This window comes from Homo sapiens, chromosome 11, assembly GCF_000001405.40.
Source record: "Homo sapiens chromosome 11, GRCh38.p14 Primary Assembly".
Classification (NCBI taxonomy): domain Eukaryota; kingdom Metazoa; phylum Chordata; class Mammalia; order Primates; family Hominidae; genus Homo; species Homo sapiens.
This window is the reverse complement of record NC_000011.10, coordinates 109,390,322-109,405,478: the sequence shown is the minus strand read 5'-3', so window position 1 is coordinate 109,405,478 and position 15,157 is coordinate 109,390,322. Positions and strand designations below refer to the sequence as shown.

At 36.8% G+C, this 15,157-nt stretch overlaps 1 annotated feature.

Moving 5' to 3' along the window:
* Positions 14,248-14,841: an enhancer, noted in NCBI's record as "OCT4-NANOG hESC enhancer chr11:109261364-109261957 (GRCh37/hg19 assembly coordinates)". NCBI's record gives its function as "activates a minimal SCP1, AML or CMV promoter by ChIP-STARR-seq in primed H9 embryonic stem cells {active_cell/tissue: H9 hESC(primed)}" and the evidence as "EXISTENCE:reporter gene assay evidence [ECO:0000049][PMID:30033119]".

Genomic DNA, 15,157 nt, shown 5'->3' with positions numbered 1-15,157 from the left:
ATCATAAATTAGTGTATTCTGAAATAAAGCAATATTCTTCTTTAAAAAGAAAAAAGAATAGTTTATAGCTAAATCTTTGCTTACATCCATTTAGTTCCACTAGATTAATTCTTGGGAGTGGATTTGAAGAACCAAGGTCATTTTTTAAAATTAATTAATTTATTTATTTTTATTATTATACTTTAAGTTTTAGGGTACATGTGCACATTGTGCAGGTTAGTTACATATGTATACATGTGCCATGCTGGTGTGCTGCACCCACTAACTCGTCATCTAGCATTAGGTATATCTCCCAATGCTATCCCTCCCCACTCCCCCCACCCCACCACAGTCCCCAGAGTGTGATATTCCCCTTCCTGTGTCCATGTGATCTCATTGTTCAATTCCCACCTGAGTGAGAATATGCGGTGTTTGGTTTTTTGTTCTTGCGATAGTTTACTGAGAATGATGATTTCCAATTTCATCCATGTCCCTACAAAGGACATGAACTCATCATTTTTTATGGCTGCATAGTATTCCATGGTGTATATGTGCCACATTTTCTTAATCCAGTCTATCATTGTTGGACATTTGGGTTGGTTCCAAGTCTTTGCTATTGTGAATAATGCCGCAATAAACATACGTGTGCATGTGTCTTTATAGCAGCATGATTTATAGTCCTTTGGGTATATACCCAGTAATGGGATGGCTGGGTCAAATGGTATTTCTAGTTCTAGATCCCTGAGGAATCTCCACACTGACTTCCACAATGGTTGAACTAGTTTACAGTCCCACCAACAGTGTAAAAGTGTTCCTATTTCTCCACATCCTCTCCAGCACCTGTTGTTTCCTGACTTTTTAATGATCGCCATTCTAACTGGTGTGAGATGGTATCTCATTGTGGTTTTGATTTGCATTTCTCTGATGGCCAGTGATGGTGAGCATTTTTTCATGTGTTTTTTGGCTGCATAAATGTCTTCTTTTGAGAAGTGTCTGTTCATGTCCTTCGCCCACTTTTTGATGGCATTGTTTGTTCTTTTCTTGTAAATTTGTTTGAGTTCATTGTAGATTCTGGATATTAGCCCTTTGTCAGATGAGTAGATTGCAAAAATTTTCTCCCACTTTGTAGGTTGCCTGTTCACTCTGATGGTAGTTTCTTTTGCTGTGCAGAAGCTCTTTAGTTAATTAGATCCCATTTGTCAATTTTGTCTTTTGTTGCCATCGCTTTTGGTGTTTTAGACATGAAGTCCTTGCCCATGCCTATGTCCTGAATGGTAATGCCTAGGTTTTCTTCTAGGGTTTTTATGGTTTTAGGTCTAACATGTAAGTCTTTAATCCATCTTGAATTAATTTTTTTATAAGGTGTAAGGAAGGGATCCAGTTTCAGCTTTCTACATATGGCTAGCCAGTTTTCCCAGCACCATTTATTAAATAGGGAATCCTTTCCCCATTGCTTGTTTTTCTCAGGTTTGTCAAAGATCAGATAGTTGTAGATATGCAGCATTATTTCTGAGGGCTCTGTTCTGTTCCATTGATCTATATCTCTGTTTTGGTACCAGTACCATGCTGTTTTGGTTACTGTAGCCTTGTAGTATAGTTTGAAGTCAGGTAGCGTGATGCCTCCAGCTTTGTTCTTTTGGCTTAGGATTGACTTGGCAATGTGGGCTCTTTTTTGGTTCCATATGAACTTTAAAGTAGTTTTTTCCAATTCTGTGAAGAAAGTCATTGGTAGCTTGATGGGGATGGCATTGAATCTGTAAATTACCTTTGGCAGTATGGCCATTTTCATGATATTGATTCTTCCTACCCATGAGCATGGAATGTTCTTCCATTTGTTTGTATCTTCTTTTATTTCATTGAGCAGTGGTTTGTAGTTCTCCTTGAAGAGGTCCCTCACATCCCTTGTAAGTTGGATTCCCAGGTATTTTATTCCCCTTGGAGCAATTGTGAATGGGAGTTCACTCATGATTTGGCTCTCTGTTTGTCTGTTGTTGGTGTATAGGAATGCTTGTGATTTTTGCACATTGATTTTGTATCCTGAGACTTTGCTGAAGTTGCTTATCAGCTTAAGGAGATTTGGGGCTGAGACAGTGGGGTTTTCTAGATATACAATCATGTCATCTGCAAACAGGGACAATGTGACTTCCTCTTTTCCTAATTGAATGCCCTTTATTTCCTTCTCCTGCCTGATTGCCCTGGCCAGAACTTCCAACACTATGTTGAATAGGAGTGGTGAGAGAGGGCATCCCTGTATTGTGCCAGTTTTCAAAGGGAATGCTTCCAGTTTTTGCCCATTCAGTATGATATTGGCTGTGGGTTTGTCATAGATAGCTCTTATTATTTTGAAATATGTCCCATCAATACCTAATTTATTGAGAGTTTTTAGCATGAAGTGTTGTTGAATTTTGTCAAACGCCTTTTCTGCATCTATTGAGATAATCATGTGGTTTTTGTCTTTGGCTCTGTTTATATGCTGGATTACATTTAATGATTTGCGTATATTGAACCAGCCTTGCATCCCAGGGATGAAGCCCACTTGATCATGGTGGATAAGCTTTTTGATGTGCTGCTGGATTCGGTTTGCCAGTATTTTATTGAGGATTTTTGCATCAATGTTCATCAAGGATATTGGTCTAAAATTCTCTTTTTTGTTTGTGTCTCTGCCTGGCTTTGGTATCAGGATGATGCTGACCTCATAAAATGAGTTAGGGAGGATTCCCTCTTTTTCTATTGATTGGAATAGTTTCAGAAGGAATGGTACCAGTTCCTCCTTGTACCTCTGGTAGAATTCGGCTGTGAATCCATCTGGTCCTGGACTCTTTTTGGTTGGTAAGCTATTGATTATTGCCACAATTTCAGATCCTGTTATTGGTCTATTCAGAGATTCAACTTCTTCCTGGTTTAGTCTTGGGAGAGTGTATGTGTCAAGGAATTTATCCATTTCTTCTAGATTTTCCAGTTTATTTGCATAGAGGTGTTTGTAGTATTCTCTGATGGTAGTTTGTATTTCTGTGGGATCGGTGGTGATATCCCCTTTATCATTTTTTATTGCGTCTATTTGATTCTTCTCTCTTTTTTTCTTTATTAGTCTTCTAGTGGTCTATCAATTTTGTTGATCCTTTCAAAAAACCAGCTCCTGGATTCATTAATTTTTTGAAGGGTTTTTTGTGTCTCTATTTCCTTCAGTTCTGCTCTGATTTTAGTTATTTCTTGCCTTCTGCTAGCTTTTGAATGTGTTTGCTCTTGCTTTTCTAGTTCTTTTAATTGTGATGTTAGGGTGTCAATTTTGGATCTTTCCTGCTTTCTCTTGTGGGCATTTAGTGCTATAAATTTCCCTCTACACACTGCTTTGAATGCGTCCCAGAGATTCTGGTATGTTGTGTCTTTGTCCTCACTGGTTTCAAAGAACATCTTTATTTCTGCCTTCATTTTGTTATGTACCCAGTAGTCATTCAGGAGCAGGTTGTTCAGTTTCCATGTAGTTGAGCGGTTTTGAGTGAGATTCTTAATCCTGAGTTCTAGTTTGATTGCACTATGGTCTGAGAGATAATTTGTTATAATTTCTGTTCTTTTACATTTGCCAAGGTCATTTTTTTAAAAAAATTATACATTGTCAAACTTCTCCAAAGATTTAAACCAAAGTATACACTCCACTGGCAGTTTACTGCTGTTTATGTGTCTGTTCCCAAGAAGACTGTGAAAGTCTTGATGTCAGGGTGTGTCGTATTCATCTTCATAGCCAACATTTTTTATGTTTTTGCACATTAAGTCACCGAAATATTTGTCAAATGAATGAATAATTTGATGACTCTTCCATTGTTTGAATGAATGTGTAATACAGGCAAGTTTGTAGAACGTTCCTAGGGCTCAGTTTTCTCTTTGGCAAAATGAGAATTTTGTGTTATATGCTTCCTACCATTCTATGATTTCACATCTGTTGTGTGAAATGCAATGACCAAGATACTCCGGGGAGATTACCCATATATACAATATATAATCATAGTGATGGGACATGAACACATATATCACATGTAAGCTAATTATAATTGAATAGAAGTATACATAGATGTGCTGAATACTCAAGCAGAATAAGGCTAGATGATATAATGGGAGATTATTATTATTATTATTATTATTTTGAGACGGAGTCTCGCTCTGTCTCCCAGGCTGGAGTGCAGTGCTGCAATCTCGGCTCACTGCAAACTCTGCCTCTATAATGGGAGATTATTGAAAGATGATACTCAGCTAATCAGACATCTCTTGCTTTCTATCTTTAAAAAAGTCCCTTTCTCACTCAGGAGTTTGTGTTTTATTGGTATCTAGAAAACAGGAGCCATAATTATCTTGAAACTCAGTGTCCTTCAGTTATTCCACCCACGGCAAAGCTTATCACACTAGGCTTTAGGAACATTTCAATCGTTTTTAAATTGCCTAGGATAGAATTGTATTTGTTGATTTTTATGTTCCTTGACTTCCTGGCACATTAGTGGGGAATGGGTGTAGACTGCCCTAGACTATCCATGCAACTACTATGCTTACCTCTATAGCACTTCTTTTCCAGGCCATCCCTGGTTAAGTATGTACAATCAAAGGCTTAGCTGATAGTCACAGAATCATTTGGTTCCCCTAATCACTCAGTTTATTACTTTATTAATTCATGGTTATTTATTGAGAATTTGTAACATTCTAAGCTAGTGGGCGGGGGGGAGGATGCAATTTGGTGTATACAACAATGGCAGATATAAACATGATCCACTGGACACACAAAGGAAAAACTCACCGATCTCCAGAAGCCAGGGGAAGTTCTCACAGAAAATGACTCTTGAAAATGATTCTTGAGATGGTACTTGAAGGAGGAGCTCAAGCTTGCTAGGTAGATGGGATTATGTGGGAAAGTGTGGGAAAAAATGGGATTCAAGTAGAGATATAGCACAGAAAAGGGCAACAGAATTGTGGGTTCATCACTGGTGAGTAGGTTTCCTATCAGTCTCCCACAGTTCTCCTCACACAGACCATCTAGTGAAGAAGCAGAGTTCCTGAGTCCGTCTCCATTCTTTGCCATAGCTCCAGAAAAGTTCTTGCTGCTCTCCAGTGATAGCTGGCTTTGTGACCACTGCTTCATCCTGAGTGCGTCCACTTGGCCACTCTGCATAGACCCTAGCTGATCCAGCTTTTATGGCATTATGGGTCATGTAGTCTCCAACCTACACACACCTCATTTTTTTTGGTTTAAGAACTCCCTGTTCCTGGGACAAGAGGCCAGGGCACTTTTGGAGCAATGTCAGTCACTGTTACCTTCAAAGAATTTCCTTCAAGCTCTGAAACCAGATTTCTAGATGAGACACACATTTTCCCCACTTGTCTTATCAGATGACATGTCCAGAAGCCAATCTTGCTTAAACCAGTAAACTTACCTCCATCCACATCCATCCTGAAATCTCTTTAGCTGTCCCAAAAGAAGAAACATACTTTCTTCTGCCCAAAACTCTTCTCTTCACCTATGTCCTAAGCAAGTGCTTCCCAAATCTAAGAAACATAAAACTCATTTGAAAACCCTGTTAAAAATATGGATTTCCAACGCCCATATAGCTGAATCTGAATTATCTGAATTCTCAAGGGTACGAGTCAGGAATCTATAGTTTCACAAGCTCTTGAGATCTTTTTCTTGGTGGTAAAATATTTCATGCAAGAAAAGGGGGATGGGAGATATGTATTGAGTGTATACCCTAGGTGATCTCATAAAACTAAGCAATCTCTAATCTGTAGAACAGCATTTAGGACCCATTGTTCTGGATCTCCATAGCTTCCTGCATCTCCAAGAAACAGTCACTGTTAGTTCAGGGGCCTCAACTTCATCTTCTCTGCAGATTCCCTCCTCTCCATCTAGCAATGGGTTCAAGAATCTCACATAAAAGTATCCCCTCTAGACTCTTCTTGCTATCCCTACCTCTTTAATTTCTTTTACAGCTAACTTTCTTATGCTAGCCATGAAAGGAAATAGCTTCATTCCACATTCCCTAATCAACCATTTTGATTTCCATACCAACAACTTCATGGAAATTATTACGATTGTTATTTTGAGACGGAGTCTCGCTCTGTCGCCCCGGCTGGAGTACAGTGGCGCGATCTCGGCTCACTGCAAGCTCTGCCTCCCGGATTCACACCATCCTCCTGCCTCAGCCTCCGGAGTAGCTGGGACTAAGGTGCCCGCCACCATGCCCGGCTAATTGTTTTTTCGTATTTTTAGTGGAGACGGAGTTTCACTGTGTTAGCCAGGATGGTCTTGATCTCCTGACCTCATGATCCGCCCGCCTCGGCCTCCCAAAGTGCTGGGATTACAGGCGTGAGGAAATTATTTTTTTTAAAGTTCATTCATAAGAGCTGGTGATTTCTATTTCTTTAATCTGATGCATAGAATTGAGTTTTTCATCCTCTACAGTCATGGCAAACTTTCATTGACATTCTATGAAAATATTCTTTAAAATATTTTTTGTTGCATGCTTTCTTTGTGCTCTTCCTAATTCTACTCTTCTTATCTGCCTAAGGTACCCACCTAAAAACCCAGCTTCGGTGTGATATTTTTATATACATATATGTTATCAAATGCAAGTACATAGCAAAATACATAGCATTGTTCATATGTATAGTTTACATAAATGTTACTATGATGTAAAAAATAATTTTCTTTGTTTCAGGTGTTTTTAACATACATCTATATTGTTATATATAAATGTTTTATTTCCCTAGACTTCTTAATAGTATTCTATTCTGTACACATACCACAAATTTACTTATCCATACATGAATGATGGACATTTTGATTACCTTTATTTGCCAAGATACCCCTGTGATATACACCTATCTATATATATATACACACACACATCTATATGTACACATCTATATATACATATATAATATATACATAGATGTATATATAGATGTGTATATAAAGATTGTGTGTATATATGTGTATATGTATGTGTGTGTGTATATATATATATTTATATATAAATTGTGCTTCCTATGAGCAAATTTATTTCAAAGATTCTCAACCTTTGCTATATATTAGAATCACCTGGAAAGTTCTTTGTTTTTAAATACTGATGCTTGGAAACCTCACCCATCACCCTCCCCATCTCAAACCCAACTCAGTTGTTCTGGGGTGGGAATTGTACATCAGTATTTTTATTAAGGTCCCAGCTGATTCTAACGTATACATGGCAGTGAGAATTATTCTAGGGCATTGCTCTTCAAAGTATTGCTCACCAACCAGCAGTACAGACATCACCTGGAATTTGTTAGAAATGCAGAATCTCAGGCCACACGACAGACCTACTCAATTGAGATCTGCATTTTAAGAGAATCCTCAAGTGATTCACATGTGTACTAAACTTTGAGAAGCACTGGTCCAGTTTGTACTCTCAGGAATGAAAATACTGCTTTCTAAGGTATACATATATTTGATTACACTAACTACCACCTGATTGCTCAACAAAATGACTGTCCTGATTTATCCTTCCACCAGTACAAGCAGATAATTGTTAGCCCATATACTTAAAAGCATATTCAATTTTAATAGTTGATCCACTGTCGAGTTCTCTGTTGTTTTTATTTTTTAAATAGATTTATTGTGGCATAATTCATATACAAAAATTGTACATATTTAATGTATACAATTTGATAGTTTGGACACATGCATACACCCATGAAACCATCACCATAATCAAGGTAATAAACATATCCATCACTTCCAAAAGATTCCTTGTACCCTTTCATCTTTTATTGGTTGGTTGTTTTATTTTGTGTTGTGCGTGTCTAAGAGCACTTAACATGAGATCTATCCTCGGAAATCTTTTAAGTGCACACTATTGTTAACTATAATTACAATGCTTAACAGCAGATCTCTTGAACGTATTCATTTTGCATAGCTGAACTTTATATCCACTGAACAACTCCCCCATTTCCCTTCCACTGGCCCATGGCAACCACTATTCTAGTCTCTGCTTCTATGAATTTGACTATTTTAGATACTTCTTACAAGTGGAAACATGCAATATTTGTTCTTCTATGACTGGCTTATTTCACTAAGTAGAATATTTTCCAGGTTCATTCATGTTGTCACATATAACAGGATTTTCTTCTTTTTTAACGGCTGAATAATATCTACTGTATGTACATACCACACTTTATTCATCCATCAATGGACATTTAGGTTGCTTATATATCTTGACTATTGTGAATCATGCTTCAATGAACATGAGAGTATAGATATGTTTTTCACATCCTGTTTTCAATTTTTTGGATATTTACTCAGAAGTGGGATTGCTCGATCCTATGATAGTTCTGTTTTTAATTTTTTGATGAAACTCCACAGTTTTTCAAAGTGACTCTACCATTTTACGTTTCCTCCAACAGTGTACAAGAGATCCAATTTATCCACACATTTGCCAACACTTGTTATATTTTGTATTTTTGATAGCTGCCATCCCAACAGGTGTGAGATTATATCTCATTATGGTTTTGATTTGCCTTTTCCTTATGATTAGTTATGTTCAGCACTTTTTCATACCTGTTGGCCATTTCTATGTCTTCTTTGGAGAAATGTCTACTTAGTTTATTTACCCATTTTGAATCAGGTTATTTGTTTTTAATTTATTTGTTGTTACTGAGTAAAAGGAGTTCTTTATATATTTTGGATATTATATATATGGTTTGTAAACATTTTCTCCCATATGCCGATTTTCTTTTTATTCTGTTGATTTTTTTTTTCTGTGCAGAAGCTTTTTAATTTGATGTATTCCCATTTCTCTATTTTGCTTTTGTTGCTTGTGCTTTTGGGGTCATATCCAAGAAATTATTGCTAAAACCAGTTTCAAGAAATTTTTTCCCTGCGTTTTCTGCTGGGAGTTTTATACCTTTTGGTCTTATGTCTAAGTTTTTAGTCAGTTTTGAGTTGGTTTTGGTGTATAGTATGAGTCCAATTTTACTCTTTTGCATGTGGATTTCCAGTTTTCCCAGCATCATTTGTTGAAGAGACTTTTCTTTCCCCCATTGTGTATTCTTGGCAAACTTTTTGAAGATCAGTTGAGCATGGGTTTATTTCTGGACTCTCTATCATGTTCAGTTGGTCTGTGTGTCTGTTTTTACACTGGTACCATCCTATTTTAATTACTATAGGTTTTAAATATATCGTGAGATTGGGAAGTGTGATGCCTTCAGCTTTCCTTTTCTTGAGATTATTTTGGCTATTTGAGATCCTGGTGGTACTACACGAATTTTACGATAGTTTTTTCTATTTTTATTTTTAAAATGTATTTGGGATTCTATGGGGATAGCAGTGAATCAGTAAATCATTTTGGGTAGTGTGGACATTTTAATAATATTAAGTATTCTAATCCATGAACACATGACATGTCTTTTTATTTATTTAGGACTTTTTTTCAGCAATGTTTGTAGTTTTCAGTGTACAAGTCTTTCAACTCCTGGTTTAAGTTCATTCCTAAGTGTTTCATTCTCTTTGATGCTATTGTAAATGTCTTTAATTTACTTTTTATATAGTTTGTTCTTAGTGTATAAATACATAACTGATTTTTGTATGTTCATTTTCTGTCTTGCAGCTTTACTGAATTTGTTTATTTATTCTAACAAGTTTTTTAGTTGAGCTTCAAGGGTTTTCTACATATAAGATTATGTCATCTGCAAATAGAGATAGTTTTACTTCTCCTTTTCAGTTTGTGTGCCCTTTATTTCTTTTTCTTGCCTAATTCTTCTGGCCAGAACTTCCAAAACCATGTCGAATAGAATATTAGCAGTGGGCTTGCTATATGCACTTATTATGCTGAGGTAAATGCTTCTACATCTAGCTTGAGACTTTTTATCATGAAAGGATGTTAAATTTTGTCAAATTCTTATGCCTTTATTGAGATGATCATGTGAGTTTTATACCTTATTCTCTTAATGTAGTATATCATATTAATTGATTTGCATATGTTAAGCTATCTTTGCTTCCCAGGGATAAATCTCACTTGATCATCGTGCATGATCTTTTTAATGTGCTGTTGAATTCAGTTTGCTAGTATCTTGTTGAGTATTTTTGCATCTACAGACATAGAGGTATTGGCCTATAATTTTCTTATAGTGTCTGTCTGTGGCTTTGGTATCCGGGTAATGCTGGCCTCATAAAATAAGTTTGGAAGTGTTCTCTCCTCTTCAGTTTTTTGGAAGATCTTGAGAGGGATTGGTGTTACTTCTTTAAACGCTTGGTAGAATTCTGCAATGAAGCCATCTGGTTCTGAGCTTTTCTTTTATGAGAGATTTTTATTATTACTGCTTCAATCCCCTTATTTGTTAATGGTGTGCAGATTTTCTATTTCGTCATGATTCAGTCTTAGTAAGTTGTATGTGTCTAGAAATATATCTATTTTTTCTAGGCTACACAGCTTGTTGGCGTATAATTGCTCATAGTAGTCTCTTATGATCCTGTGTATTTCTGTGGTATCTATTGTCATGTCTTCTCTTTAATTTCTGATTTTATTTATTAGAGTCTTCTCCACTTTTTTCTTAGTCTAGCTAAAAGTTTCTTGAATATTTTTATCTTTTCTAAAATCAACTCTATTTTATTGATCTTTTCTATTGTTTTCTTGTCTCTATTTATTTCTGTTCTGATCTTTGTTATATCTTCCCTTCTGCTAACTCTGGCTTAGTTTGTTCTTTTTCTAGTTTCACGAGGTGTAACATTAGGCTGTTTATCTAGAACCTAATTTTTTTTTTAATGTAGGCATTTATCATTATAAACGTACCTCTTAGAACTGCTTTTGCTGCATCCTGTAAGTTCTGTGGTGTTGTGTTTCCATTTTCGTTTATCTCATGTATTAGTCCATTTTCACACTGCTGATAAAGACATACCCGAGACTGGGAAGAAAAAGAGGTTTAATTGGACTTACAGTTCTACGTGACTGGGGAGGCCTCAGAATCATGGGGAGAGGTAATAGACACTTCCTACATGGCAGTGGCAAGAGAAAATGAGGAAGATGCAAAAGCAGAAACCCTTGATAAAACCATCAGATCTCCTGAGACTTATTCATTAGCACAAGAACAGTATGGGGGAAACTGCCCCTATGATTCAAATTATCTCCCACTGGGTCCCTCCCACAACATGTGGGAATTATGGGAGTACAATTCAAGATGATATTTGGGTGGGGACACAGAGCCAAACCATATAATCTCAGATACTTTTAAATTTCCCTTTCCATTTCTTCTTTGACCCATTGGTTTTTCAGAAACATGTTTAATTTCCACATATCTGTGAATTTTTCAGCTTTCCTCCTGTTACAGGGTGAGCATCCCAAATTCAAAAATCTGAAATCCAAAATGCTTCAAAATTCAATAAACATTTTCTTTGTGCATCAGGTTGATGCTCAAAATGTTTCTGTTTTGGAGAATTTTGGATTTCAGATTTTTGGATTTGGGATGATCAACCAGTAAGTATATAATGCCAATATTCCAAAACCCCAAAAAAATCCAAAATCCGAAACACTTCTAGTCCTAAGCAGTTCAGATAAGGGATACTCAACTTCTATTGATTTCAAGTTTCATACCATTGTGGTCAGAAAAGATACCTGGTATTATTTCAATCTTTTAAGTTTGTTAAAATTTATTTTGTGACCTAACATATAATCTATCCTGGAAATTGTTCTGTGTGCACTTGAGAATAATGTGTTCAGCTGCTGTCAGATGGAATGTTCTGTATATGATTGTTACAGCCATTTGGTCTACAGTATAGCACAAGTCCAATGTTTCCTTATTGGTTTTCTGTCTGGATAATGTATTCATTGTTGAAAGGAATGCTGAAGTCTCCTACCATTATTGTATTGCTTTCCATTTCTTTTCTTTTTTTTTTTTTTTAAGACAGGGTCTCACTCTTTCACCCAGGCTGGAGTGCAGTGGCATGACCTCAGCTCACTGCAACCTCTGCCACCCAGGTTCAAGTGATTCTCCTGCCTCAGCCTCCTGAGTAGCTGGGATTACAGGCATGTGCCAGCACACCCAACTAGTTTTTGTATTTTTAGTAGAGATGGAGTTTCAACATGTTGGCCAGGCTAGTCTCAAACTCGTTGACCTCAGGTGATCCACCCGCCTAGGCCTTCCAAAGTGCTGAGATTACAAGTGTGAGCCACCTCGCCCAGCCACTTTCCATTTCTCCCTCTCAGTGTTTGATGTTTGTCAGTGTATCTTTAGGTGCTCTGATGTTAGATAGATAGATAGATAGATAGATAGATAGATAGATAGATAGATAGATAGATATACACCTATTTATAACTACATTACTTTCTGATGAATTTATCCTTTCATTATTATATATCTTCACCTCTTGTAACAGTTTTTGATTTAAAAATGTCATTGGGATTTTTATGGGGGTAGCACTGAATCTATAAATCACTTAAATTTTTCCTGCTGTAAGTATAGCTACCCCTGTTCTCTTTTGGTTATCATTTGCACAGAATATCTTTTTTCATCCTTTCACTTTCAGACTGTCCTTAAATTTAAAGTGAATTTCTTACAGACAGCAAGGAGTTGGGTCTCATTTTTGTTTTTGTACTATGCTCTGTCTTTGGATTAGGGAGTTTAATCCCTCTATGTTTAAAGTAATTATTGACAGGGAAGGACTTACTGTAGCTATTTTGTTCATTGTTTTCTCTCTGTTTTGTAGTTCTTTGGTTCCTCTCTTCATTTCCTGCTGTATTCCTTTGAGTTTCATTGATTTTTTTTTTGTAGTGATATGCTTTCTCTTTAGTTCACTGTTGCTTTAATTTACATTTCTCTGATTACCAGGTATATTTATTTTTATTTGTAGAGACGGGGGTCTCCCTATGCTGCCTAGGCTGGTCTCAAACTCCTGGGCTCAAGCAATTGTCACACCTCAGATTCTCAAAAGTGTTGGGATTACAGGCCTGAGCCACTACACCCAGTTTCAGTTTCTGATTACCAGTTAGATGGAGCACCTCTTCATACACTTAGGAGTCATTTTAATTTCCCCTTCTGTAATTGCCTTTTTCCACTGATTTGTAACATCACCTCTACCTTATAGAAAATTCTTCTACAAATTGTACCTGTTTCTGGCCTCTACTATGTTCTATTGGTCTATGTATTTGCAGCTTCACCAGTAACTTGCTGGTTTAGTTATTATGATTTTGTAATATTTCTTAGTATTTGGTAGGCCAAGTCTACCCTTCTTGATCTTCTTGCTTTATCAAAACATTTCTTTAGTATACAGGGACTTTATTTCTCCATATAAACTTTAGAATAAGTTTATCATACTCCCTCAAAAAAGGCTTCTTCATTTTCACCATAATATTTTTTAAATTCCCATGAGTTTTGTGGATAATTTATTACTAGGTATTTTTATAGATTTTCCTCAATTTTAATTGGTATCTATTTTATATTACATTTTTAGTTGGTTATTGTTAATTGGTATAGAAAATGCTACTGTTAATCTTGCCAGGAACTTTGCTAAAATCTTTTATTAGTCTAATATTTTGCTGATTTCCTAGGTTTCTATTGAAATCATCTACAAATAATGTAATGTTTTCTCTGCCTTTCCAGTGTTTATGCTTCTGATTTCTTATCTTATTGCATTGGTCAGAATCTCCAGGATTTTATAGAACTAAAAATGCACCTAAGGTTTTCCATAATATAAAATGTAGATTGTTAATAGTCCTCTGATAGGTGAATGTAATACACACATTTCAGTCCAGTTGAACAATATGTTCATCTTATTTGGTCTCTCTTCAGTTTTTAATGCTATTTACAATCATCCTTCTTTTTTTTTTTTTTTTTTTTTGAGACGGAGTCTCGCTGTCACCCAGGCTGGAGTGCAGTGGCGCGATCTGGGCTCACTGCAAGTTCCGCCTCCCAGGTTCACGCCATTCTCCTGCCTCAGCCTCCCCAGTAGCTGGGACTACAGGCGCCCGCCACCACGCCCAGCTAATTTTTTGTATTTTTAGTAGAGGTGGGGTTTCACCGTGTTAGCCAGGATGGTCTCGATCTCCTGACCTCGTGATCCACCCGCCTCGGCCTCCCAAAGTGCTGGGATTACAGGCGTGACCACTGCTCCCGGCCACAATCATCCTTCTTGAAATCTGTCTTTATTTTATTCTCTGCTGCTTTTCTGGCTATCTTTGGGTTACTCCTTTTCAACACACTTCCCAGGTTTGTTCATTCATTCATTCACTTATGCAACAAATGTTTACTGGGGACATCCTATATGCCAGATTTCTCCCACCATTCATCTGCCTCATTCTTTAGCTTTGTGTATACTCCTCCTGGAAAAACTTACTTCCATGGCCCTAACTACTATATATCATAGGTGCTCAAATCTATTTCTATATAGTCTATTATAGATCCTGAACACAAGGCCTGTACAGCCTACAACCAATTTAAACTCATCATGCCCCCGCCAAATAGCTTCTTTTGCATTCTCCCCCACTGGGTTAACTGCACTATTTGTTATGTAAAAATCAAGTGAAAGAAGTGCTTCCTCTTCTAAAAAGCCTTCTTCAGTTTTTCCATGGGTTACAACACTTTCCTTTTTGGTTCCTTGGTGTCTTGCTCACCTTCCTAGATGAAGTATAAAGGTATTTATACTTGCTATAATAATGTATTAATATGCCCATTCCTACTATTGGACTAGGAGCTCTCAGAGAAGCAGGAACTCTTCCATCGCTGAGTCACAGAGACTGGCAGTGTTGATGCTTGCTGAGTAAAGACTGGTTGTTGTCCACTGTGTGAAGTAGCCCTCATTTTCTCTTCTCTCTGAGGCTCGCAATTCTTATTCAACACTATTAAATAAAAAGACTCATTTTACCAAAAGTAATATGAGAAAGAGAAGGTGTTTCATTACGTTAAACCACAGTTTCAAAAGGAGAGCAAGGTGAAGAAAGAGGAAGGGTATTTAACCCAGTGCTGGTTAACTCCTGAGGTAAAATGGGCAGATTCAGTTCCCATGCCCTTTTCTCACATATGTCTCCTTCCATTTACCTTCATCTGCACTGTTCCTTCATGCTTAGGCCACAAAGGTGAGTTACGTTGTGCTTTTATGTGGTTTATTTAGAATATATTTAAAATGTATTACCATTATTTGCTTATCAACCAACTGGAGAAAATGAGTATGGAATAA